The following is a 27,209-nucleotide window of genomic DNA, read 5'->3' as shown; positions in this document are numbered from 1 at the left end:
ATTGTTTTTGCCCAACAGGGAGAGTTTAAGGTCGTGGATATGCCTTGGCAGTAAGAGTTTATGATTTAACCTTTAGGGAAGTGATCGAGACAGTTCACCACACAGGATCCTGGGTCCAGCGTGAAGGTGACATTCAGGGTATGGAAGGAGAATGACTTTGGTGTGGATGACCCACCTCTGGCACCTATGAGCTATGGGACATTGGGCCAGTCACTTCCCTGAGCCTGAGTGTCCTCTCTTTAAATGGGGATAATACTCCTGCCTCACAGGATTCTGGGAGGTGGGAAGCATTTGACACAGATCTATTCCCTAACATCAGTGCCCCTTCAACAGGCAGACTAGACAGGACTCTCCGTGGAGGAGAATGGCTGCTCAACAAAAGGCCATCTTTCCTTCTGTCTCACGATTGTTTTGGAGCTTATGATTCCCCACATCTCATGCCAACGTCCTCCTGATCTGAATGTTAAATCTGTTGACTTCACAAATGAAACACTCTCCAAAGCCTCCACCTCTGGCACATTGGCTGCCCGGTGTGCTCTCCCTCATCTATTCAGATACCTCCCCAGAGAGCGGCTCTTCCCACACAGAGCCCCAGGCTTCTCTCCTGCCTTCTCAGGACCAAGGACATAAGATCCTGCTCATCCTTCACCTCCTTCACCACCTTCACCTCACAGATGAGGAAACTGAGGCTCACAAAGATGAGGGGGCTGGCCCAGGGTCATGCAGCAAGGATGTGGCTGGGGCCAGAGCCCTGACTCCCAGCCCTTATCACTGCCACGAGCCCCTTATTATCACGGGTCAGGTGCTCTCCCCTCCCACGTCCCACTGGCAGTGTCCAAATCCCTTGTCTGTGTGGCAGAGGGGGGATGCCATGGTCCATCCCATAGCAAGAGACAGCAGGAGCCAAATGAATCTTCAACAAAGATATCTAACAAATGGGTGCATTTATTATTGAATAGGTAATACACATACGGTTAAAAATATTTAAAGCATAAAAATATTTAGTGAGAGCTCTCCCTCCCACACCTGCCATATATCTACCTGGTTCTCTCCTCCAATAGGTAACCCCTCTTCTTAATTTCTTGGATATTCCACTGGTGTTTTAAATGCTTACAGTGGCAAAATCAGATATATATATATATGCTTCCTCTCAATTTTTGGATACATGTTAACATGCTCTCTTCTTTACCTTTTTCATAACAGCACACCTTAGAGAGCTTTATACATCAGTACATAAATAGCTTCCTCGTTCTTTTTCACAGCTGTGTAATACTCCATTGTATATGTATATTATAATTTTTTTTTTGAGATGGAGTTTCACTCTTATTGCCCAGGCTGGAGTGCAATGGCACAACCTCTGCTCACTGCAACCTCCGCCTCCTGGGTTCAAGCAATTCTCCTGCCTCAGCCTCCCAAGTAACTGGGATTACAGGCATGCTCCACTATGCCCGGCTAATTTTTTGTACTTTTAGTAGAGACAGGGTTTCTCCATGTTGGTCAGGCTGGTCTCGAACTCCCAACCTCAGGGGATCCACCCACCTCGGCCTCCCAAAGTGCTGGGATTACAGGTGTGAGCCACTGCACCCAGCTTGTATATTATAATTTTTAACAGTTTTATTGAAATATAATTCATATACCATAAAATTCATCCATTTAAAGTATGCATTCAATTTTTTTGTATATTCACAGATTGTGTACAGTGAGCACCACAATTTTAGAAGTTTTATTACCCCTCCAAAAATGCTATATACCCTTAGTTATCACCCCCAATCCCTCCCGCTAGTGAACCACTAATCTATTTTCTATCTTTGTAGATTTGCCTATTCTTGGCATTTCATATAAATGAAATCCTACAATATGTAGTCCTTTGTGACTGACTTCTTTTATTTAGCACAATGTTTGCAAGTTTCATCCGTGTTATGGCATATATCAGTACTTCATTCCTGTTTATTGCTGAATAACATTCCATTGTATGGATAAACCACATTTTATTTATTCATTAGTCAGTTGTTGGATATTTGGGTTGTTTCCATTTTTTGCTATTACAGATAATGCTGCTTTGAACATGTGTGTTCAAGTTTTTGTGTAAACTTACATTTTTATTTCTCCTGGGAAGATACCCAGGAGTAGAATTGCTGGATCATATGGCTTATTTTATAACTTACTTACCCAGTACCCCATTGATGGAAATTTCATCAAATTGTATCTTAAAAACCAGCAACCATCACAAACGTGGCAAGTTAGAGTCCTAGAGTGAGGATTAGGAAGAAATGGAACTGGAAACAATGGCTGGATGATTTAACTTGCCAGTCTTCCAACTTTTCCCTCCCTGCTCCTGGGGAAACTTTACCCGCAGACACTTACTCTAACACTTTCCAATTAAGCCTACCTCAACTCCAATGGGGTCTGTGACTCTGGGAAAGAGAAGAGCCATTTCTCACCACCTGGCACAGGAGTCCACTGCCCACTGACCCCTCAGGGAAAGCCCAAGTCCCCTCAGGTGTGTCACCCTTGGGGTGTCACTCCCTTCCTGTCTGGGTTTCCTCATCTGGGAGACTGTCCAGAGGAAGCTGGTGACTCTTGACCATGGAGTTTCCTGGCCCTATGATGACAGATCTCTGCCACACCTGGCCATCTGCCACACCTGCAACAGGTGCAGAACACAGGGGAATTCAATAGCCATCCAAGCTCTAAGCGGAGAGCCAGCCTCAGGGGGAGCTTCTGGCCACCTCAGTTCATGATGGGACCTGAGAGATGGAGATTCCTTAATACCAGCACGTTTTAAAAATTTGTTTTGATTGAGAACTTCTTAACAAGTCAAAGCTGGGAAGTGCTTTCTGTTCTGATGCAACAGAAGACACAGCAAATCGGATCCTCTGATTAATTGCATGAAAGCAAAGTCATCCACTTACTAAGTTTCTGTTTGGTGCTGCCCTAAGATTGTTGGAAGATCATATTACTCCCCACTCTGGAAACTCAGTGCAGCTCAACTGCAGTAGGACTGATTCTTCCCTAGGAGACGGAGTTCTCCTTTCATCATCTTCCCCTTCTGTGCATGGTAGCCGCTTGAACTTGCCCCTCCAAGAGTCAAGGACAAGACCACCCCATGGAATGTGAGTACTCAGCTACAATGCAAGGATGGGCAGGTTGAGATTTTACATATTTCACGTCATTAAATTACAAGTACAAAATAGCACAGAGGAAAAAGTTTCTCTCTTCTACAGGATATGTTTGTCCATTAAGATACAACCTAACTTACTTTTACCTTTGTAAGAAAGGTAAAATGTAATGTATTGCAGTAATTAATATAGTGAGTTTCTTTCGTGTAGAAAATGGACTGGTTTTTAAATAATTTAATGTTCTGTGTGTAGCTCTTAGTTGGGGATATTTTATTTGTATTTGAATGTGTTGCATCATTCTATGACAATTTCTAGAAAGTTCTATGAGTTTATACATGTGTTCTGAGTTTCAATAAGTTCTCTTGCCCTAATATAAGGATATTGTGTTCTTGTTGGGTTGATTTGCTGTCTGTTTGTTTGTTGCAATAATTACGGGAATTTTTCACCTTCCTTACTTTAATGTCTCAAACCATTCTACCAAACAATGGTGTAAATTTATGCTTGTGGTGTTGTTTCTTGCGAGTGACTAATTTTATGTAATTAAATCTGTTCATTTGTCCTGGGCTTTGTCACATGTAGTTTGAAAAGTAATTTTTAAATAGTTTCTTCCTTCATCTAAAAGTAATAAGCTCATTCACACATTCTGGCAACTAACTATAATAAAAAATACTGGCCTCTCTGAGTCTTGCGTTCGCAAAATGAATTAGCAACAAACAACGATCAAATGGGAAGCATTTTGGAGCACCTTTGTTCTGCACAGCAGGCTGCAAGATTGATCCTATGATGTGTTTTTAAATACATCTGTGTTCACATTAGAGCAAGAAATGGGGGTTTGAGCCAGTAAGGCCCCACTGGGAAATGTCTCACAGGATTGCACTCTACAGCTCTGGTTTTCATTGTTTCATTTTCTCCACCAGCTCTCCAAGCAGAGAAAACAGTTTTGAATTGAACAGCAATTGAGATCTTAATCTTCTGGTCTTACAAGGGCATACAACGGCTTTACCCAGGGGCACCTCACCAGGGAGACCAGAAAAGTACCAACTGGTACACTCTTGCTTTTCAAAAATAAGTATACACGGTACTAAGTGTACAAAAGGGCAAACAGTAAAAAATATATCTTCTTCCCCCAGGTTTCTTCCCCAGAGGCAATTGCAGATACTAATTTCTTATTCATTCTTCCAGAGATGTTCTATACATAAAAAAAGTACAAGCAAATAACATATAACTTCCCCCTTCTTTACAAGTGGCATTGCAGAGCATGTCACCATTAGCTTATTTTTTCACTTATTAACATTCAGTACCATAAAAAACTCATTGCTTTTTATGACTGTGTAGTACTCCACTGCATGGAGGTTCCAAAATGTATTTCACCATCCCTCAGTTGGTGCTATTCAGGCTGTTCCCAGGCATTCGTCATCACAAGGAGGACTGCAATGACTAACCTTCAGCATATGTTGTCTCTAGATGTTCTGGAGCATCTTTAGGATAGATTCCTAGAGATAGAATTGCTGGGTCAAAGGTAAGTGCACTTGTAATGCTCATAGATCTTGTCCGTGTGCCCTCCATGTTGGCTGCATGAATTTACCAGCAATTATACAATTAAAATTCTCCTTGGAAAAAATGTCAAGTGTGGATATGAACATTTATTTGTTGACATTTTAAAAATGCCAATCCTAAACCCCTGAAATGCAGAGGCACTTGTTTCTTTTCTTTAAAAAAATTTTTTTTTGGTGTCAAGTCCACGTCATTGCCACCTTTGCTCCCAATTTAGACACCTTTCTTCTAAGCTGGACAAAAGAACAAAAAAAAGCCATTTTTTTGTTAGTTTATTCTGAAACATCATGAATTTGCAAGTCCAATAGGTAACAAAATGGTATCTAGTTATTATCTTAATTTGCATTTTTCTTATATGAGTGATATTGAGAAGCTCTTCTTATGTTGAATGTTCATTTTTTCCCTGTGAACTATTTGTCCATATCTTTTGCACATTTTTCTACTGCAGTTTTAAACTTTTTCTTACAGAACCGAAGGCTATTTAGAAAATCAGTGATATAAATTGCACTTTGTCATCTGCCTGTTGGTTTTATGGTATGAAATAGCTTAATTTTTTTTATGTAGTTGAATTTGATTTCTATTTCTTGTTTCTTCTGAATTTTTGTTATGCTTAAAAGAATATTCCACTCTGAGATGATAAAGAAAAAATCTGCCATGCTGTACTCTAGTACTATAAATTATTTCACTTTTTATGTTAAAATATTTGATTTATCTGGGCTGTTTTTTTTTTAATCTGGACCGATTTATCTGGTCATATGGTGGAGAGATGTGGATCTAATGCTATTTCCCCCAATGCTACATATTGAATAATTCATCTTTTCCCACCGATCAGAAATGCTCCTTTATTAGCTAGCTATCAAATTCTAATTGCTAACTATTGATGCTGTTTTTACTCTGTTTCATTGGTCTGCTTGCCTGTGTTTTCAGCACCACACTATTTTAGCTGTTGTAGTTTTATTTTTTATTTTTTTTATTTTTTAAGACAGAGTCTTGCTCTGTCACCCAGGCTGGAGTGCAGTGGCCCGATCTTGGCTCACTGCAACCTCCACCTCCTGGACTCAAGCGATTCTCCTGCCTCGGCCTCCCTAGTAGCTGGAACTACAGGCATCACACTATTTTAGCTGTTGTAGTTTTATTTTTTATTTTTTTACTTTTTAAGATAGAGTCTTGCTCTGTCTTGCTGGAACTACAGGCATCACTTGGCTCACTGCAACCTCCACCTCCTGGACTCAAGCGATTCTCCTGCCTCAGCCTCCCTAGTAGCTGGAACTACAGGTGTGTGCCACCACGCCTGGTTAATTTTTGTATTTTTAGTAAAGACGGGGTTTCTCCATTTTGGCAGGGCTGGTCTCGAACTCCTGACCTCAGGTGATCCACCTGCCTCAGCCTCCCAAAGTGCTGGGATTACAGGTGTGAGCCACCATGCCCAGCACTGTTGTAGTTTTATAGGGAGAGTTGTACCTGGTTCTGAAGAACCCCCAGCCCACACACTCTGCAAAGCCCAGCAAGTCCCAGCTGGGCTTTGTGCATATAAAGCTTTCATTCATTGAAAAAAATGTAAATTAGTTTTTATAGCTGGCTGATTTAAAATTTGTGGCTAGGCTAATTCATTAGTCATTCTTTTTATTCAGATTTTTTTTTCTAATTAGTCTTGACAGTTGATTTTTCTTTTTCTTTTTCTTTCTTTCTTTTTTTGTTTTTTTTAAATAGGGTCCCATGCTGGAATGCAGTGGTGTGAACACAGCTCACTGCAGCCTCAACCTCCTGGGCTCAAGTGATCCTCCGGCCTCAGCCTCCTGAGTAGTTAGGACCATAGGCTTGCACACCACACCTGGCTAGTTTTTTTATTTCTTGTAGAGACAGGGTCTTGTCATGTTGGCCAGGCTGGTCTCAACCTCCTGGGCTCAAGCAATCTTCCCACCTTAGCCTCCCAAAGTGCTGGGATTACAGGCATGAGACACCATGCCCGGCCAACAGTTGATTTTTCTAAATGAATAGTTTATTGATTTCACAAAGAAATCCTATTGCTGTTTTTATTGCAATTATGTTTGTTGTATAAATTATTTGAGGGATAACTGACATCTTTATGATGTTGTGTCTCCTATTCAAGAACTTAGTGTTTTTCTGGGCACAGTGGCTCCTGCCTGTAATCCCAGGGCTTGGGAGGCTAAGGTGAGAGGAGCTCTTGAGACCAGGAATTCAAAACCAGCCTGGTCAACATGGCAAGACCCTATCTCTACAAAAAAAAAAAGAGAGAGAAAAAAGAAAAAAATTAGCCCGGCATGGTGCTGCATGTCTATTTGTGAGGCTGAGGCAGGAGGATCAATTGAGCCCAGGAGGTTGAGGCTGTAGTAAGTTATGATCATGCCACTGCACTCCAGCCTGGGTGACAGAGACTCTGTCTCTCTAAAACAAACAAAACAAAAAACAAAACAAAACAACAACAAAATAGTGTTTTGGACTCTTTTGATTTTTAAAAATATATTGACATACCTGTTGTTACACTCCTGCTCATGCCTCAGAGAAGGCCTCTTTGAGCAGCGACACGTTTTCACGGATATGAGGGCTCCATTCTCCTTGGTGTGGCCAGGCAGCCCTCAGCCCAGGACGCTGGATCTCATCCGGACCTCTCTGTTTCTCAGGGGCCAAGTGGACTCCCCATGAAGCCTCCAACCAGACCCAGGCCAGCACCCTCCTGGGGCTCCTGCTGGGTGACCACACAGAGGGGAGGAATGACACCAACTCCACCAGGGCTCTGAAGGTGCCAGACGGAACCAGCGCTGCCTGGTATATACTCACCATCATCGGCATCTACGCGGTGATTTTCGTCTTCCGGCTGGCCAGCAACATCCTCAGAAAGAATGACAAGTCCTTAGAAGATGTTTATTACTCAAATCTGACCTCTGAACTCAAAATGACAGGGCTGCAGGGCAAGGTCGCCAAGTGCTCCACCCTGTCTATCAGCAACAGAGCTGTGCTGCAGCCCTGCCAGGCCCACCTGGGGGCAAAGGGCGGAAGCAGCGGGCCCCAAACCGCAACCCCAGAGACCCCCTGAGAGTCAAGGCCAGGAGGCCTTCCCTAGGGTGGCCCCAGACTTCTTGGAGGGGAGCAGCTTTGGGTTTACTTGGAGCCCTTGAGGGGGACTGGGGGTGCATCACTGACAAGGGGTGCTTCTGGCTGCTAGTTTGTGACCAGAGCCAGCCACCCAGTTCCTTCTCAGACTTCCAGGTGCTTCGAGAAGAGAGAGCAGGGCAGCGGTTTCTAGCCAAATTCAATCTTCACTGGCAAAACCTGTGCTCTGGGGAGGAGCACTATTCCACTGTTCTCGGAGGAATCCGGGAGACTCCTGGGGGCATACAAGGAGGTGACTCCTTGTCGTGGAAAGAAGAATGAACTTGGAGTCAGTTCTGGGTTAAAATTCAACTTCTGGGGAGTCACATAAACTGAGCAGCTTAGTTGCTCACCTGAGACATTTAGGGTTTGGAGACAGATGGTTTTAAAAGTCTATTTTATTTGAAAGACTCTAGCTTGAATATAGGACCAAAGTTGTTAATATCAGAAGTTGGAAATTCTTCATTTTCATTGAAAGAATTAGGTACGACAAAAAAAGCATTGGAGCTGGGTGTGGTGGCTCATGCCTGAATCCCAGCATTTAGAGACCCTGAGGCAGTAGGATCACTTGAGCCCAGAAGATTGAGTCCAGCCTGGGCAACCTAGGGAGACCCCGTTTCTACAAAAAAAAAAAAAAAAAAGTTTTGTTTTGTTTTGTTTTGTTTTGTTTTGTTTTGTTTTGTTTTGTTTTGAGACGGAGTTTGCTCTTGTCGCCCAGGCTGGAGTGCAATGTCACAATCTCAGCTCACTGCAACCTCTGCCTCCTGGGTTCAAGCAATTCTCCTACCTCAGCCTCCTGAGTAGCTGGGACTACAGGCATGTGCCACCACGCCTGGCTAATTTTTTTGTATTTTTAGTAGAGATGAGGTTTCACCATTTTGGCCAGTCTGGTCTCGATATCCTGACCTTGTGGTCCGCCTGCCTTGGCCTACCAAAGTGCTGGGATTACAAGCATGAGCCACCGTGCCCAGCCAAAAAATGTTTAAAACACATTAGCCAGGCATGTGCCTATGGTCCCAGGTACTTGAGAGGCTGAGGTGGGAGGATTGCTTGAGCTTGGGAAGTCGAGGCTGCAGTAAGCTGTGATCATGCCACTGCACTCAAGCTTGGGTGACAGAGTGAGACCCTGTCTCAAAAAAAATTTTTTTCTTTTAAGAAAAATGTATTAATTTTGGAGTCAGAAGAACCAAACTCTAGTCTGGATTTGATTATCAATCACTCTGGTGTCCTTTCACACATCACTTCGCTTCTCTAGAACTTAGTTTCCATACAGATAAAATGAGGCTAATGATGTCAGATCTGCCAACCTTACCAAGTAGATAAGATCTAATGAAACCATGCATGTGAATGTATTTCGAAAAGTAAAATAAGTATGTAAATATAAGCCTTGTTGTGGTAAGTGGTGATGGTGGTGACTGGTGGTTCTAGGTGATGCTAATGGTTTTGGTGGTGGTGATGGTTTATGTTGATGGCAGTGTTGCTGTTGGTGATGTTATTGGTGGTGGTTATGATGCTAACGGTGGTGGCGTAGGTGGTGGTGGTTGATGTTGGCATTAATGGTGGTGGTGATGATGCTATTCTGAAACAGGAAATGACTAATTCCTTGACAATTAGTCTCTAAGCAATGGCTGTATTGTCTTGTTCCACAAGAGAATTCCGTCTGCATGTCAGTTGATGACCTGTGCTATCAATTGAATCCATGAGATTTTGCCTGTGGACACTTTTAGATTTCCTTACATTAGATATCATATGCTTCACTCAAGTGGTTTACCAATACCTGTTACTTATATACTTTTCTTTGTCTAAAAAAGAAATAAGATCTGTCTAGATGACTGATTAACTTAGGGAGATTCTGATTAACAGAATTTCTAGAAATGGCTTTCAGCAGGCAAAGAGAAAATTATATTTTGTACCAATTTATATAAAGTTCATCTAGCTCAGCTTTTGGAGATGTCCCTGGGGCTAGAGATGAAATATCGTTTTCCTGTCCACAGACAGCGGTCTGCAGTTCACCCCATGAACTCATACAGGTCAGAATTAAACCCCGAGCTTTGTTTATGGAGGGTGAGATATATTTCCAAGTATTTCTTTCTCTTTTCACATTTTCCACATCATTACCATCATCATTGTCGTCATCATCATTGTCATCATCCTACAGGTTGAAAACAGAAGTGTTAGTTTATTTATAAAGTTTATATAGGCTTTATGCATATGTTTGAGATGCTTATAGGGCAGGACAAAACAGAAGACACAAAGGTAGACAAAAATGTAATCCACAGTCATAGGAATACAGAATGCATTCAAATGGGGCTGAATGGTCAGAACTTAGGTGAATCTGAGGATAGGAAGAGTGAATTGGCACAATCTCCCCTTGTTGGTTGCCCCTGCAGCATGCATTTCCCCCTTCTCTAATCCAGCTGCCCCGAATTTTCATTTGAGGACCCATACAGCTCTAGGAAAGTTGAAACTACCCCCAGTTCAAGAATTGGAATAAGTTTCAAATGAAAAAGCTGAATGAAAAATAATTTTTAAAAAATAATAATAATAAGTGTTTTAAAAAGTGGGAATAAGAGGCCTAGATTGATCCAGTCGTTGCATCCCATCTCCTGGCCTCATTGCTTGGGACCAGGATGGACACCTGACCCTAAGCGAAACAACCCAATAAGAGTGACCAGGAGAACTTTAATGGGGAATTCTGGAACAAAAAAGCTTTCTCTTGCTCTGGATGGTGTTAAAAGCCGATCTGAGCCTGAAATTGTTACGGGAATGGGATCCTGATCCAGACCCCAAGGGAGGGTTCTTGAATCTTGCACAAGAAAGAATTGAGGGCAAGTCCATAAAGTAAAATGAAAGCAAGTTTATTAAGAAAGTAAAGAACAAAAGAATGGCTACTCCATAGGCAGAGCAGCAGCAGGGACTGCTTGACTGAGTACACTATGGTTATTTCTTGATTGTATGCTAAACAAGGAGTGGATTATTCATAAATTTTCCAGGAAAGGGTCAGGGATTTCTCAGAACCCTCAGTTCTTTTAGACTATATAGGTTCTCCTTTTAGACCATATAGGGTAACTTCTGGACATTGCCATGGCATTTGTAAGCTGTCATGGAGTTAGTAGAAGTGTCTTTTACCACACTAATGCATTACAATTACCATATAATGAGCAGTGAGGAAGACCAGAGGTCACATTAATCACCATCTTGGTTTTGGTGGGTTTTGGCTGGCTTCTTTATTGCATCTTGTTTTATCAGCAGGGTCTTTGTGACCTGTGTCTTGTGATATCAATCCTGCTGGCCTCCTGTCTCACCCTGTGACTAAGAATGCCTACCCTCCTGGAATGCAGTCCAGCAAGTCTCATCCTCATTTTACACAGCCTTTAATCAAGATGGAGTCACTCTGCTTCGAAAACCTCTGACAGAATTGCTGGATCCATTTTGCCACCATGAAGAAAGCCAACTTGAAGGCAAAAACCCAGCATCTAGAAGGGAGAAGAACTAGGAAATTACAGAGACCAGAGCCTGTACCAACTGTACCCAGAGCCTTCATTTACCACTGGAGTTTTTCAGTTTGTGAACCAATGAGATCCTTTTATTAAGTCTTTTGGAGCTAGGCTTTTGTTCCTCACAACCAAAAATATCCTAAATGATACCACTGGATAAATGATTTCCCGAAGGAAGTGGGCCTTGGAGTCAAATTTGAAAAGAGAAGATGTGTGATGTGCTGTGTGGGAGGCTGGGATCATTTTTTTTCACCAAGATTTTTATATTTATAGGCTTTTATATTTATAGGGGAAAAACAGATTCGGTACACTTCTTACTTCAGCTCAATAATCATTTGCAGGACTTCTCATTGCTTGACCTCTCAAAGAGCACTCAGTGAGACTCTGTACCATTTAATCCTCACCCCTGACTGTCAGTAGACTGCCATGGAAACCCCAAGGATGCCTGTCCTGTTGGACATGTGGTCAGAGACTGGCTCCAAAGATATCTCCCAAAGAGCAAAAGCCACCATCTTCCTGTTGGTGCCCAGACACAGGTGCATGAGCTCCAAGGACTCCTTCCTAGGCCACCTCTCTGCTGCCTGATCTAAACTCACCTCATTTCTGGGAGCTGGTCTGAGAGTCTGCCTTGGAGATGTGTTGGATGGGAACTAGGGGTTTGTAGGCTCCATTGTGAGCAATACTGATGGGAAATGACCCCAACTGGTATGGATATTTTGCATAAAGCCCCTGAAATCTGACATGCTCAGGGTCAGAGCCATGAACCACTGTCTTGACAAACCCCATGTACATGGACTAATAAGGAAGGTGTGGGCACCATGGCGTTAGTGTTCAACTGGAGAGTGGGAAAGAGATTTGCATGTGCCACCAGCCCTGATAGAGACAGTGACAGAACACACTGATTCTCAACATTGCAGACACCTGCTGTCTTTGTCCCTATGTAGGTTTCCCCCAATATTTAGGGGATCAGGTCAGATAAAGGCCTTCCTCTGAAATGGAAATTATTTAAAATCGATGAGGAAGTCATCCAGGAATGACTTCCTCTGGGGATCTGTGGATGATGGTGCTAGGGTTTGTACCAGACCAAATCAAGGTAACTAGAGCCTCCCCAGGTGATTGTAACCCATCTCCTAAATAAAACTTGCATCGACTCGGTTGCATTACAATTTGATTTTCCTGGGTGATGTACTCATCACATTTTTTAAAAAAGGACTTAAAGAAAGACTTTAGAGACTAAATTCTTGGTATTTATGCACCTCTTTCTGGAGTCACAGGTGGGCTCTGATTCTCATAACTGATTGCCTTGACTTCTACCGGAGCAGAAGAATGCCAGCTCATTCTTCAAATACAGTTAGTCTTCTGTTGGCAATTATGGAAAACAGCTCTACCTAGCGCATGCAAATGTGTGTGTGTGTGTGTGTGTGTGTGTGTGTGTGTGTGCGCGTGTGTGTGATTTTGAGGAAGGTAACTGAGGTAGCTCACAGAATCAAAAGGACAGCAGCTCCTCCCAGCCTTAGGAAGGAGAGGGGTTAGTCTGCCATGAGGCCCTTACTTGGCGGCCCCAGTTGGAGAACCTTCTCACTAGGATTCTCCCAAAAGACAGCTCAGCTCCCATGTCTGCCTTTTAGTGCCTCTGCTCAAGTTTCAGATCTCAGGGTGAGGGCACTGCAGTGGATCAGGGAAGAGCAGGTGTGCAGGTGACCCAGGGAATGGAGCGCTCTGATTGGCTGAGGCTGAGTCATAGGCCCCCTCCTATAGGACATCAAAGTCTTTGAAGAAAATGCCAATTAAAAGCACTGTTGGCTGGGCACTGTGGCTCATGCCTATAATCCTAGCACTTTGGGAGGCCGAGGTGGGCAGATCACTTGAGGTCAGGAGTTCGAGACCAGCCTGGCCAACATGGTGAAACCCCGTCTCTACTAAAAATACAAAAATTAGCTGGGTATGGTGGCGGGCACCTGTAATCCCAACTACTCAGGAGGCTGAAGCAGGAGAATCACTTAAACCTGGGAGGCGGAGGTTGCAGTGAGCCGAGATTGTGCCACCACACTCCAGCCTGGGCAACAGATCGAGACTCCATCTCAAAACAAAACAAACAAACCAAAAAAGCACTGTTGCTCAGATATCACCCCCTGTGTGAAACCTTGATCCCTAAGGCAGAATTGCTTGTTCCTCCATGGCTTCTGTAGCACTTTGTAAAACATTTGGATGGATCAAAGAGAGAAAATTTTATTCAACAGAATTTTTCCAAGGACGGCACATTTGTTTGCCAAGTGTTTGGTAAGCAAGAGAGACCTGTACAGTTTTGGTACAGGAAGGGCCCATGAATGTGGGCGGAACTATTCCACAGGAGACAAGGAGAAGCTGTTCTCTGGAGGGAGGGAATGGAGAGGGAGAGGTGGTTTAGGGATCTGCAGGATGGCAGAATGCATCCAGAAATGACTTTCCTATCATTTCCCCACCACTGCCTCAAGCCCTTTTCTTCTACGATTTTATGAAACTCATGGGATAAATGCTTGAAGTGAGTAGGCTAGAAGCCAGCAAAGGGATGCAGGGATGTGCCCAGACACATACAGGTGGAACGGAAGCAGCAGGCAGATGGGGGGTGTCAGGAACAGAAATGCTTTCCTAGGGCAACCTAGTTAGGTTTCGTTTAAGCTAATCAGGAAGTAACCAGAGTCATGGGGAGGCTGTAAAACTGAGGCAGGGACCAGATTTCACCAAATCATTGTAGAATGAGGGCAAGGATGAAGGAGGGGTGGAGGTAGGTGCTTGCAGGAGTCACCTTGATATGGTTTGCCTGTGTCCCCACTCAAATCTCATCTTGAACTATAGTTCCCATAATCCCCATGCGTCATGGGAGGGAGCCGGTGGGTAATTACCTCCATGCTGTTCTCTTGATAGTGATTGCGTTCTCACAAGATCTGATGGTTTTATAAGGGGCTTTCCCCACTTTGCTCTGTATTTCTCCTTCCTGCCATCATGCGAAGAAGGATATGCTTGCTTCCTTTTCTGCCATGATTGTAAGTTTCCTGAGGCCTCCTCAGCCATGAGGAATTGTGAGTCAATTAAGCATCTTTCCTTTATAAATTACCCAGTCTCAGGTATGTCTTTATTGACAGCATGAGAACAGACTAATACATACCTGAAAAGGAGAACACTTATCACATAATGCTGTAAATACAGGTCGGCAGTCTCTTCCCCACTGAACCAGAAGAATATGATTTTTAAGAATAAAAGATATCTTATTGATCAATTGATCAACAATATCTTATTGATCTTGACCCACTTATTTCAAAACACACAATAAATATTTGTAACTATTCTTTTAAAAATAGCAATACCCATTTAAAAATAATGAAATCCAGACTAAAAGGACTTGGTATGTACCAGGCACTAAGTGCGCTGCATGCATCTCCCCGCTTGCCAGTTGCCCATCCCCTGCGCCTAGTGCTCCATGCTTGCCTCTCTTATGGCACCCACAAATGAAGCTGGAGGCAGAAACCATACAGTCACTTGAACACAGGAAGTTTCCTGTAAGGAAATGATTAAGTGGTGAGGAAGAAACTACAAAGATACAAAGAGAACTCTCAAGGGTTCCCTAGGGCTCAGTACCCAGGGAAGGACCAACTCGGCTCCCCAAGGCTGGGCTTCAGACGTCTTTAGAGAAGATGTGATTGCAGCCACTGGCCGGAGGGGAAGTTCGTGGGTGGCCGGGGCCACAGTTGGCCCACAGTCCCCAGGCAGCTGGTCCTCTAGTGCACAGGAGCACCAAGACTGGTAGATGGGTGACCAGAGAGAGCCAGGGTGCCAGGAGCTCACTCGCTGGTGGGGTGGCCGGGAGGATGCTGTGCGCCTTGCCCATGGCACACAGGGCCCATGGCACACGCCTCCAGGACACAGCCCCAGAGAGGCTGTGGTGTGGCACTTGCAAGAGTCGAGGCACTGAGCATGTGCCATGGACTGAATGCTTTTGTCCTTTGTCCCCTGAAATCCACATGTTAAAGCCTTAATCCCCAATGTGATAGTATGGAGGTGAGATTTAGATGAGGTTTCGGGAGGTTTAGATGAGGTCGCGATTGTAAGGCCCCCATGATGGGATCAGTGCCCTTACAGGAAGAGACACCAGACCCCCCTCTCTCTCTGCACCTTGTGAGGACACAGCAAGAAGTGTTCTACCCGCGAACCAGGAAGCAGGTCCTCACCGGGTACCGAATCTGCCAACACCTTGATCTCAGACTTCCAGCTTCCAGAACTGTGAGACAGAAACGTGTGTTGCCTAAGCCATTTGTTTTAACAGCCCAAACTGACTAAGACACTCATCAGAGAAAAAGCAGCGCTGGACATGTGTTACAGGCGGCAAGACTGATTCCTTCAGACTCCTGCAGCAGCGGAAAGAGATTCCAGTACCGACCAAGCTCAACCCCAACTCAGAAAACGGTGACTGAGGTCTTCAAAGAGAGAACAGAAAGGGAACAAAAAGGGACTGAAGGAGAAATGAAAACAGAACGTGGGGGCCACGTGGAAATGGAAAGTTCCAGAACGGTGAGGGGAGAACTACTGAAAATGGTTTAGCGGGGTGGGCTGGACGAGGTGCATTTTGTGATTTGGCTGCATTGCAAAGTCTTGAGCCAAGACTCAGCCAGGGCTGGGGTCGCCTCTGGGGATGCAGCTTAGTGCAGGTGGAAGCCAGGCTACAGTTTGGTGAAGCCTCTCAGCACAGTGCTGGGGCGAGTCCTCTACACTCTGTGGAATTCCCAGTTCACTGGAGGCTCGCTAGCAGGGCAAGTGTGGCCCGAAGGTGCACTGTCCATGTCAGGCAGGCATGCAGGGAAGCCGGGGAGCTGACACCCTGCTGGGGGCAGGGGAGTGGGTGGCCTGGGGTGCCTTGGGTCCCATCAGCAGGGTCATGGGAAACAGCCTCCAGGCTGCACAGTGGTGGACAGCAGTGCTGGCTCCCCCTGTACCTGCCCACCAGCCTTGGCCCTCCTAGGCCCCGAAGGGTCGTTTCCTGCTGTCCAGTGACTGTAGACCAGCCCTGGCCCAGGAAACCCTATAAACTTCTCCTCCAACTATTTCTCCTGGAGAAGACAAGAGTGCCAATGGATTACTACAGTGCAGGGCAATTGAGCAAAGATGGGGATGAACTGGGGTCCCATGGGAGCAGGGAGGAGGGGCCAGGGAACCCTGGCCAGAAATAGGAAAGCAGTAATGGAAGGGACGACTCAGGAGAGGGAGTGCCCATCTCAGAGCCTTTCAGGAACCTGGCATTTAATAAATGCCTCCTCCAGAGGGAAGGATTCAGGCAGATCACTTCTAGAAGGGGTCACCGCCTCTCCAGGTTCTGCATGGTCCACAGCATATGTACAGTCCCCAGAAGCTAGACTCCTTCCAGGCCTGGTGTGGAGGGAACCTAAGTGTGTGATGGAGGAGAGTCTTCCACGGGCTATGAACTCTTTGTAAAAAACAAAACAAAACAAAACAAAAAAACAGCATGCATGCGATGCTGGGGGCTTAGGACAATATCTTAAAACAGAACTGAAACATTGGTGGATAAACCTCAGGACAGGCAGGAAAAGAGCCGTAGCTCATCCACCATCAGCATTAGCAATGTAATCAGACACAACGGAAAATCAATGAAGTAAAACCAACCAGCAGGATTATGTTGTTGAGCCTCCAATAAATGTCTTAAGTGTCCAATAGAGCCATATCGTTTTGATGACATGAATTTCTGTGTTGCTTTTCTGATTGCTCAAAATCCTGAAATTCTTTGGAGAGTATTATCAATGTCATTATCTTTGCCAGGAAGATGCTGAGCTGTCTTCCCTGAAGCAGTGTTCTCCCTGGGTTGTTTGAACCCCTGACTGTCACGTGCCTTCTGTCCTAAGCTGCCACCAAGGCCCAGACAAGCCCTGCCATGCATGTGTCTCTTTATTAATACATAGTACAGCAGGGAGCTGCCCCCTCTCCCAGCCAGGCAGGGCCGCTTATCCCACACCCCCTGCCTTGCAAGCACACTTAGTGTGGAGTATATTAGGAAGTTTAATTAGCAGAAAATAAATAAAGTAGGGATCCCAGCTTGAGCCCAGGCTGTCCCCTGCTGGGGTGGGACATGTCTGAACAGTGTTGATGAGAGTTTTATGAAAGACGCATCTCCTAGAGGAAAGGACATGGAGAGAAGTAAGTTTGATTCCCTCTCGGAGGAGCCTGAGTGCCCAGAAGTCCAAGCAAGAATCTTGAGCTGTATCTGGGAGTGGGGGTGCTTAGATCACGAGCATACTCCTGAACCCTGGCAATGGGGCAGAGCATGGAATGTGCTGACTGGCTTAAGCTTGGAGCAGGACTTGATGTGGCTTCCTCCAAAGGAACCTGAGTTCTGTGGGAGATGGATGAACATCTGAACAACTCAGGGCACTGCTGGGGATATGGAAGCTGGCAGGCAGCCCTTACCATTTGAGGTGCGATAGGGAGAGAGGATAACCAACGTTTAACAAACTCTATCAAATACTGGGTGCGTTGACACGTGCCAGCCCCAGGATGCTCTTAGAAACTCTATGAGGGGAGTGTAATTAGAGCACTGAGGCTCAGAGAGGTTAAGAAACTTGTATATTGTCACACAGCTAGCAAGAGTTTCAGGAAGCTAGATCTAACAGATTCCAAGGCCCATGTAATGTTTCCATCAGGTATTTGTCCAAAAAACACTTTTCCTTCAAGGTAAGGAGTGGGAAGGCTACTCGTATGGGGGCATGGTGTCCCAGCAGCCCACAGCTCAGTGCCAGACTGTGAGTGAGAAGACGAATGTGTGTCCCATCTCTGCCACTTCTGTCTGTGTGGCCTCAAGACCCTCACCTAGAAGGATGGCTGAAGTATCACTCCAGGCCTGGTGTCCTGACTTCTTGAACAACTGTCTAGGGTGTGCAAGCCAGCACATCCCCTTTTCTGCTCCCTAGTTAGATGGATTTAGCTAGGCTATTGCTTTGTGAGAATAGAGGGACCCAAGAGCCTCATTCTCCATCTATATAACTCAAAGACTTTGTATAAGTCAGGGTGAGCTGGTTTTGTCATGAGAAACAACCACCCCAAACTCTCAGTGGCTGCAGACAGCTGGCTTTCTTTCTTTCCCCCGCCACATGCGTGCAGCAGGTCTGCTGGTGGCTGTGCTCTGAGACTCAGGTTGCTCCTGCAGACCCTCTGGAAACATGGCCATTCTCAGCTCTGGAGGGACGAGTCCCTGAGTATCTCACCTGGACAATTAAATGCTCCAGCCTGGAAGAGACACGAGTCACGTCCATCCACCATTCATTGGCTAGAATAAGCCCATGGCTCCTCTCAACCGTGGGGGCAGGGAAGTCTCATCCCACCGGGGCCTGGAAGGCTGAGAACCAAAAGTTGGGCGAACAGTACTCATGGCTATCATAGAGTGGAACCAGTTCCAAGACTCTCAAACCATTTTTTGAGAGCAAGGGGAAGCCTAATCTCATTCTCTATTTTCTATCATCTTTTTTACTTATATAAACCCAAACCTCTCTTTATTAAAACATCTCTCTATATATATGTCTATTTTAAAAAGTCTCTCTCTATATGTCTTTGTGAGAAAAAAAAATGTGTTACGTTCCTTTCAAAACCAACCCTGAGGCTCTGGAAGCACTAATGTTCTCCACCCACAGTTCCCCACCGGCCCCTGATCAGACCTGGTTCTAGGACAGGGGTTCTCACCTTGGCTTCCCTGTAGAATCACCTGGAAGCTTGTAAAAATCCCATGGATGCCAGGTCTCACCCCAGGCCAATTCTGTCAGAACCTCTGAGCTGGTGCCAGGCAGAAGCAATTGGGTGAAACTCCCAGGAGATGCCTGGATGGGTCCAGGTTGAGTCTGCTGTTCCGGGTGAGCCCTGAAGCAGCTTCCAGCTCCGGGGCTGCCTCTTTCTTTCCCAGGTGAGGTTCCAGGAGAAGCCAGAGATGGGGGTTTGCCTTAACAAACCAGGAGCTGAGGAAGGTCGAAGAGAATTCGGTGATTATCCCGACTCATGATTCCAGCTCCTTCCCAGTGGTGGGAGCTGGGAATGCCGTGGGAAGCAGGCGTGGGAGGGGTGCCCAGGGAGACAGGTGCCCGGGTGTGCTGTCACTCAGTTCCAGGCCTGAGCTCAGCTGCTGAGAAAACAGGAAGTGCATCAGGAACTGAGTGTGCTCAAGTCCTGGGTATTCACAATTCACAAGGACACGTGCACACATTCACACACACATTTGCACATCCCCATAAGCATACACACACACACACATACTCAGCTGGGCGTGATGGCTCACACCTCTCATCCCAGAACTTTGGGAGGCCGAGGCAGGTGGATCACCTGAGGTCAGGAGTTTGAGACCAGCCTGGCCAACATAGTGAAACCCCATCTCTATAAAAAAAAAAAAATACAAAAATTAGCCAGCTGTAGTAGCGGGTACCTATAATCCCAGCTACTCAGGAGGCTGAGGCAGGAGAAGTGCTTGAACCTGGGAGGCAGAGGTTGCAGTGAGCCAAGATAGAGCGACTGTGCTCCAGCTTGGGTGACAGAGTGAGACTCTATCTCAAAAAGAAAGGAAGGAAGGAAGGCAATCATTGAGACAATCAGTATTGCCAGGGAAGAAGGCTTTAATTGGGTGCTGCTGCCCAGGAGATGGAGCTCAGTCTCAAATCCATCTTCTGGACCCACTAAAATTAGGGGTTTATATAGCAGGGAAGAAATGTAACAGGAACTCGGGAGGGGTAAGGAAGCAGTCATGATGAATGGAGGGCCTGACGTCTCATTGTCTAGACAAGATGATCTGGTGAGTTTCAGTTCTCTGATACTTTTGGAGAGGACTTGGGCTCCTTTCCTGAGGAAGCAACTCAGATAAAACAAATTTAATTTTCAAGCTTTAAGACCAGAAGGGTCAATTTCTGTATTCATCAAAAACAAACAAACAAACAAAACAACAACAACAACAACTAACTGTCTATGGGACTATTGGTTCGGTTTCATTCTTTTTTTTCAGATTTTCTTCTCCATGAAAAAAATGTTTTTAAAAGAATCTCTTCCACAGAAAAAAAAAGCAACTGGGGATCTTCTCTTGTTTGGCGAGGAGATAAGGGGCTGTGGCCCTCTCCTCCTGAGCAGCTTGTCTGGCAAATGGGCAGATGATGTTGGCCTCAATTCCAAGGATGGCAACAAGAATGAACTAAGACATGACATGTAAAGGGGTCAGGGCTACTCCCCACACTAAGTGCTCCAAAATATTATTACTTACCCCAGGTGCTGAACAGAGTAGGGGCTTTGTGACCTCATGTGGCCGACTCATTTCACTGGAAGCATTATTCTGAAAACAAGTTTGGAGACGATGGGAAAGTCTGACACACACATGCTCATACACAGACGGTGGCAGCATCGTCTGCCGAGATGCACAGCAGACATAATTTGGCTGGTTCCCTGTGGGCTTGCTCTCTGTGGGTTTGTTGTTGTAGATTTGTTGTTGTGGGTTTGTTGATGTGGGTTTGTTGTCTGTGGGTTTGTTCTCTGCGGGTTTGTTTTCTGTGGGTTTGTTTTCTGTGGGTTTGTTGTCTGTGGGTTTGTTCTCTGTGTTTCCTTTCCGCCCTGCTTTTCACAGGAGAATGCCAGGCCCTCTGTGGTTTGTTGCCTGGGAGGAGATTCAAGATGCCAGGCCAAAAACCTGAGGGCTGACCCTTTCCCTGTGTATGGTGGGGAGGTTGTGGTACCTGTCCCAGAGAGGGATGGGACAGGGGACCGTGACACTGAAGGGAGAGAAGAAGGGGCAGAGTTGTCTACAAGCCTAGGGTTGAACAGAGGCTCTTGAGGCAGGGAACTGAGGCTCATGGCTCTTGTTCTCAAGAAGATGACTGGGCCACCTGGGAGAGTGACTTTGGGTTTACCTAAATGGGCTGGATCCTGGCTTTGAAATTCTCAGCCTCAGCAAAGATGCCAGTGCCCACATGATGGGACCACAGGGGCTTGGGTCTGAGCACCTAGACCCAAGCATCGGCTAAGGGTGACCTCAAGGCCCTGCCTGTGCACTGGCCTTGGGAAGTGGGGTGGGGTAAGAACCTCCAACCATGCCCAAGTCCCATATGACTTGATTTAAATAAATAAATGTGATGTTTCCCACAAAACTGAATTTGTGGATAAGATTCATACCAGCCACATGTATACACACATCTATTTATAGGAGCAACTGCTTTGGGTTTTTATTTGTTTTTTGTTTGTTTGTTTTTGGTGATTTGGTGTTTTTTGTTGTTTTGGTTTTTTGTTGTTGTTGTTGTTGTTTGTTTGTTTTTTTGTACTACCAGTTTCTAAATATTCCTTCTTCTTTGATGAAGAAAGTGATCTATGGCGGGTGGAAGATGGCCCAACAGCCCGGCAGCAACACTCACGTATTGAGTTTAGGGACCCACCCGTGTCCTGAGAGTTCAAGTTAAGACTTTGTCTTGCAACTGAACAATCTTTATCTCCCAATTATATGAAATCAATTTAAATGAATTAAACAAATTACAATGTCCCACTTGAGAATATCAGTTACCTGGGCAGTGGAGAAGAATTAGAAGTAAAGAAGTGCCTTCTAGGAAAGCAGATAGTAGTGACTCGGGGTGGAGGGAGAAGCTCCCATGGGAAAAGTGTGGAGGGCTCCCGACCTGGGAGGTCCCTGCAAAGGTGTCTGCCTGAGCAGTCCTACAGAGACCTGTCCACACTGCCTCCTAGTGGTCGCTCCATCACCTTCCAAACACTCCAAAGTTGGGGAGGTGGCCCCAGGAAGCCCACTTCTCTCTCCCAGGCAGTTGGCAGCCTCTGCTGGAGTGGGCAGCGGGGAGGGGAAGTCCCGGGAGGCTGGAGACTCCTGAGGAAGGGAGGACAAGGAGCCTCAGGTGGAGGGAGGGGAGTCCTAGGAGCTGGCTGCTTGGCTTGGCAGAGGCTGCAGAGGACGTGAGAGAGTATGTTAACAAGCACAGGAAGGTTCTCTGAGTTTCTCTGGCCATCCATGGTGCAATGGTTTGCGTGAGTCCAGGCCCCCATTTATCGGGGCAAACTACTTCTGGCTCCTTGTGCAAAAGCAGTTCCTGGCCAGACGCTGGCTTGGCCTGTCCCGGGGTGGTGGGTGGGGGGCACAGATGAGTCTCTGCGGAGACCTCTCTGTTGGTGCCTCTTAGGCTCTGGGACCACACCCCCAGTCCATGTGTCCCACATTGTGCCCCTAAGCTGAGGCCTGGCAGGTGCTGCTGTCAGAACCAGCCTGAGTATGGGCTCCAAGTGAACCCCAGTCAAAAGCTCCAGGATCCCATGAGTCCTCCTTTGGCTGGTTTTCTCCACACCCAGCCCCCATCACCAGTGCCACCCCCCACTTCATGCTGCCTCTAAAATGATCTTCAAGGACGTCTGAATTGTGCATTTTATATCAAGTTCTTCTTGTCATTGTTTTCATAATATATTGCCAGATTTACTCATAATTAAAGAAGTTAAAACAATGAAATGATCTTTTTGTCTATCAGATTGATAAAGGTTAAAAATCACTGGCTGGGCGCAGTGGCTCGCGCCTGTAATCCCAGCACTTTGGAAGGCTGAGGCAGGCAGATCACCTGAAGTCAGGAGCTCGAGACCAGCCTGGCCAACATGGCGAAACCCTGTCTCTTCTAAAAATACAAAAATTAGCCAGGTGTGGTGGCACGTGCCTGTAGTCCCAGCTACTTGGGAGTCTAAAGCAGAAGAATCGCTTGAACCCAGGAGGTGGAGGTTGCAGTGAGCTGAGAACACACCACTGCACTCCAGCCTGAGTGATAGTGAAATTCCACCTCAAAAAAAAAAAAAATTAATATCAAATGGCAGCTGAGAAATGGACATGAGTTTCAAAATAATAATACCAGCATCATTATTAACAATAAAACTACCGAGTACCATTTAAGATTTCATGTGTTTTTCTTTGTCCTTAGCTTATACTCTACTGGAGAATATATGATCAAAATACTGTGTTGTAGGGTCATTTGAAAGAAATTCAACTCTGTGTGATTTTGGAACTGACATGATAAGCAGCTAGGTTCATCAGTTACTGTTTGTATTGTTTAGAGATCATTTTGTTTTATTTTTATTTTTGATTTGCCTTTGTTTTTGTTTGTATATAAATTTAAGGGGTACAAGTGCAGGTGTGCAGTTTTGTCAAATGGATTGATTGCTCAGTGGTGATGTCTGGGCTTTGAGTGTAGTAGTGTACATCGTACTCATTAAATAATTTCTCATCCCTCACCCTAATCCTATCCTCTTTTTTTTTCTTTTTTTAGACGGAGTCTTGCTCTGTTGTCCAGGCTGGAGTGCAGTGGTGCAATCTCGGCTCATGATTCTCGTGCCTCAGCCTCCCAAGTAGCTGGGATTACAGGCACGCACCACTATGCCCAGTTAATTTTTTTGTATTTTCAGTTGAGATGGGGTTTCACTATGTTGGCCAGGCTGGTCTTGAACTCCTGACCTCAAGTGATCCACCCACTTTGGCCTCCCAAAGTGCTGAGATTACAGGTGTCAGCCACCATGTCTGGCTAATTTGTTTGCATTTTAGTAGAGAAGCAGTTTCACCATGTTGGCCAGGCTTGTCTCAAACTCCTGGCCTCAAATGGTCCTCCCATCTCAGCCTCCCTTTCGAAGTCCATTATTTTACATTCTGTACCCATGTGTACACATTATTTAGCTCCCACTTAAAGGTGAGAACATGTGGCATCTGACTTTCTGTTTCTGAATTATTTCACTTAGAATAATGGCCTCCAGTTCTGTCCATGTTGCTGCAAGAGACGTGATTTCATTCTTTTTTATGGCTGAGTAATATTTTTTAATGTAAAAATGTTGACATTTTCCAAAATGAAAACTGTAAAACAAGATACATTTGGAGAAGTCTAGAGTGTTTGCTTTATTCATGTTGTTTATGCGTTAAAATATAAGCATATTGCATACATAAGCATATTTACACCCACATCTAAAAGATAACATATTATATATACTTTTCCATACTTCTGAACAAGCGTCTCATATCCATAACTAAAAATTAGATGAGAAAGGCAAAGAACTCTTGTCTTCGAATTGACTTCATTGCACTATATAGCATTTCACACTGCGGTTCCAGGCCACAGGGTCCCTTGGGTAGGGGGAGACAAAGGGTGTGGCTGACAGGGAGACTCTAGGACTACCATTGCCACTTCCACCAGAGCAGCCACACTTCTGTTCCACATAGTTGGCATCCAAATTTGATTTGAAAAACAGTTTCCACTACTAAAAGAAAAATCCTATGAGAAAATGACCACAAGCCAATTATCCACTCAAACCTGCTGATCCTGGCCTCTGGGAGAGGCTGTTTGGAGACCACATATTTCATATTAACTTTACCATGATGAGATTATCTTACTGTCTGGGGTCATCCAAACTTGAGCTCCAAGAAAACCCCTGTGTGAGGGAAAAAAAAAAAAAATCCTCCTCCATTCAACAGTAGAGCAAAGGACCTGACCAATCATTTTGTCCACGTCTTCATTTGAAGGAATCCTTCATGCCCATTTTATGAAATGTCTTTAGCTCTGATTAAAGAGGCAAGAAAATACAAAGGAAGAGATGGTTAGAGTTTGAAGCAAACTGTCATTTTGCCTGAGTATATAAAATTAAAAGTGCTTTCAAGATGAGGTATTGAATTAGTTCAATAACTGCAAGCTCCGGGTGGGCGCAGTGGCTCACATCTGTAATCCCAGCACTTTGGGAGGCCGAGGCGGGCGGATCACAAGGTCAGGAGATCGAGACCATCCTGACTAACACGGTGAAACCCCATCTCTACTAAAAATACAAATAATTAGCCGGCCATGGTGGAAGGTGCCTGTAGTCCCAGCTACTCGGGAGGCTGAGGCAGGAGAATCACTTGAACCCGGGAGGCGGAAGTTGCAGTGAGCCGAGATCGTGCCACTGCACTCCAGCCTGGGCAACAGAGAGAGACTCCCTCTCAGAAAAAAAAAAAAAAAAAAAAAAAAAAAAAGACCTGCAAGCGCCAGTGGAAGCTAGGTGTGCAGACTGACTTTCTTTTGCAATTTGCCATACCTTCCTTCTGCCACCTGGAAAAAATCACTCTTAGTTGTGCAAATGGGAAGGCAACTGGCACAAATTCTATGCATACACAGACACACAACACGTAAGTCCAGGACTCCCTGGGTGTGTCATGACTATACCCCTGGTGCCTGGCACAATGCCTGGTGTACAGCAGGTGATCAGTACATATTTTTGAAATGGATGAATGAATGTAAACATTTCTCCCCATCTTAAGCCAAATGGGTAGGCTCATTACTATTAAAAGATTGCCAACCTCTGTCTCAGACCTATTGCAGAAGTGATGTCAAAGTAGCATTTTTATGGGTAGCATCTGCAATTCCCATATTTTATGGGTCAGCAGGGAGTTGTTCTGAGTATTTATTCCATGATGCTTGAAATCTGAAGTGTATGTGTGGGACTGGCACCACTGTAAGAAAGCCCTTTATGAGGTCATCATCCCCCACTTGCCATCTCTCCCCAGATGCAGATGTGCAAGCTTTTAAAAACACTTGAGAAGCCACCATGCCTCGCTTTGCAAGCCCTCTTTTAAGAAATGTCATTATCAGAAGTCAATTTGATGGCATCAAGAGGAAGCAATGCCTCCAATATCTGAAAACCCTGAGAACACTGCAATATGATGGATTTAAGACCGTATATTTTGGGGAAACCAATATCCCAGAAAGTCTCGTAACTGGGGAAGATATTAGTGATGGATATTTCATACAAACCCCAACTTGGTGTATTGTGCATGCTGCGGGTAGTCAAGGATGGGTGCCTTGGAAATATCGGGTGTTCCTAAGAGACGAGCTGTGTATCAAACAAGAAGACAGCCTCTTCTCTGAGTTCTGTGATGTGGTGAGGAAGGCCTATGGAAAGTGTGTCATCGTGGTCAAAGAGAGAAGGCAGCAGGAAGAGCAGAGGCCAAAGGAAGACAGAGAGGCTGAGGGCCAGTTCTATATCCCTACAGTCATTAGCTTAGCAAGCATTATGTGTTGCCCAGAGGTGGCCAAGTCCTGTGGCCATGAACTACTCTCTCTGCCTTCCCCTTGTAATTATCTGAACCCTTTAGACTCAGCCTGGTCTTCTCTGAAATGGTTTATCATCAATAACAGAAACGAGTTTTGTTTGCAGTCCATTGACAGTGGCTATTCTTACCAATGTATACTTTTCAGCAATTTAATTAGCAAAGGAATTGAAAGGATAAACGCAAGCAAGTGGAGAACATTAACTAGCAAAGTACGGAGATGGGAAAACTACTATCTTGGGAAATTTTCTTAAGGGTGGTTCCTCCAACAAGCAGTGAGGCTGCTACATGTCTGGTCTTTACCGTCAACTCTGTTGAGATGAATTCCACACCACTGCAGCCAAAGATACTTCAACAGCGACCTCACATGGGGTGCTGCGAGAACTGGGTTGCTCCTAAGGATGTTGGCAAAGCGCTTTGAGTTTACTAGAAGTTTCATTAAAATTTGTTGGTAAGTTAGGGGTCTCGACTCTTATCTTGTGAAGGCTACTTTGAGGGCTTTGTCAAGGGGAGGATTAGGTCTAACCCAGCCCAAAGGTGGATGGCAATAAGCAGGGGTGAGCAGGCTGAAAGTTGAGTGGTCGAAATTTAGGTCTGAGAAAAAAAGAGAACCAGTGTGCAGTCATCCCCCAAAAAGCCCAAATTAAATAGTGTGCCAAGTTTCCACCCACCAAAGTAATCCACAGGGATCCAGCTTGCCATGGGCGAGATATTGTCCAGATGGTCGCCAAGCAAGACTCCCTCCTCCCGATTGTCCTTCCTTCCTTGTCGGCAAAGTGGTGGAGGATGAGTGAGAGGCAGCCGCAGAGGGGAAACTCCATCCGGACCCTCCAA

The 27,209-nt window shown here is 45.2% G+C and overlaps 2 protein-coding genes and 1 long non-coding RNA gene across 7 annotated transcripts, besides 1 other annotated feature; 2 read left to right on the top strand and 1 right to left on the bottom strand.

The window, feature by feature from the left end:
* Window positions 1–927: 927 nt before the first annotated feature.
* On the bottom strand, window positions 928–23,593 carry LOC105372793 (salivary glue protein Sgs-3). Of its 4 annotated transcripts, XR_001755015.2 has the most exons (6): window positions 20,550–20,815; window positions 18,998–19,266; window positions 18,526–18,656; window positions 7,473–7,524; window positions 7,167–7,380; window positions 928–4,906 (listed from the first exon to the last, which is right to left on the bottom strand). It is a non-coding gene; the product is annotated as a salivary glue protein Sgs-3 (long non-coding RNA). The 4 variants fall into 4 exon arrangements; XR_007067850.1 differs by lacking the exons at window positions 928–4,906; window positions 7,167–7,380; window positions 7,473–7,524 and adding an exon at window positions 10,627–11,260; XR_007067849.1 differs by lacking the exons at window positions 928–4,906; window positions 7,167–7,380; window positions 7,473–7,524 and adding an exon at window positions 21,834–23,593 and having other exon boundaries at window positions 13,491–18,656; window positions 20,550–20,618.
* Window positions 2,995–12,447, top strand: SMIM34 (small integral membrane protein 34). 2 transcript variants are annotated; one of them, XR_007067788.1, is made up of 3 exons: window positions 2,995–3,113; window positions 7,316–8,073; window positions 11,037–12,447. XR_007067788.1 is itself a non-coding variant. In NM_001367348.2 (2 exons), the coding sequence occupies exons 1-2, from the start codon at window positions 3,107–3,109 to the stop codon at window positions 7,726–7,728; spliced, it is 420 nt and encodes a 139-aa protein (NP_001354277.1). In that variant the 5' UTR covers window positions 2,995–3,106; the 3' UTR covers window positions 7,729–8,231. The 2 variants fall into 2 exon arrangements, 1 of the variants encoding a protein (NP_001354277.1); NM_001367348.2 differs by lacking the exon at window positions 11,037–12,447 and having other exon boundaries at window positions 7,316–8,231.
* Window positions 9,055–10,254: an enhancer, noted in NCBI's record as "BRD4-independent group 4 enhancer chr21:35788990-35790189 (GRCh37/hg19 assembly coordinates)". NCBI's record gives its function as "activates an origin of replication core promoter dependent on BRD2, P300/CBP, MED14 and CDK7 cofactors, and independent of BRD4, by STARR-seq in HCT116 cells {active_cell/tissue: HCT116}" and the evidence as "EXISTENCE:reporter gene assay evidence [ECO:0000049][PMID:35650434]".
* Window positions 23,594–25,873: 2,280 nt separating the features above from the next.
* Window positions 25,874–26,834, top strand: C21orf140 (chromosome 21 open reading frame 140). Its single transcript, NM_001282537.2, has one exon. The coding sequence runs from the start codon at window positions 25,874–25,876 to the stop codon at window positions 26,627–26,629; it is 756 nt and encodes a 251-aa protein (NP_001269466.1). The 3' UTR covers window positions 26,630–26,834.
* Window positions 26,835–27,209: the final 375 nt, after the last annotated feature.

This window comes from Homo sapiens, chromosome 21, assembly GCF_000001405.40.
Source record: "Homo sapiens chromosome 21, GRCh38.p14 Primary Assembly".
NCBI lineage: Eukaryota > Metazoa > Chordata > Mammalia > Primates > Hominidae > Homo > Homo sapiens.
The sequence above is the reverse complement of the archived record's forward strand: the minus strand, read 5'-3'. Positions and strand labels throughout refer to the sequence as shown.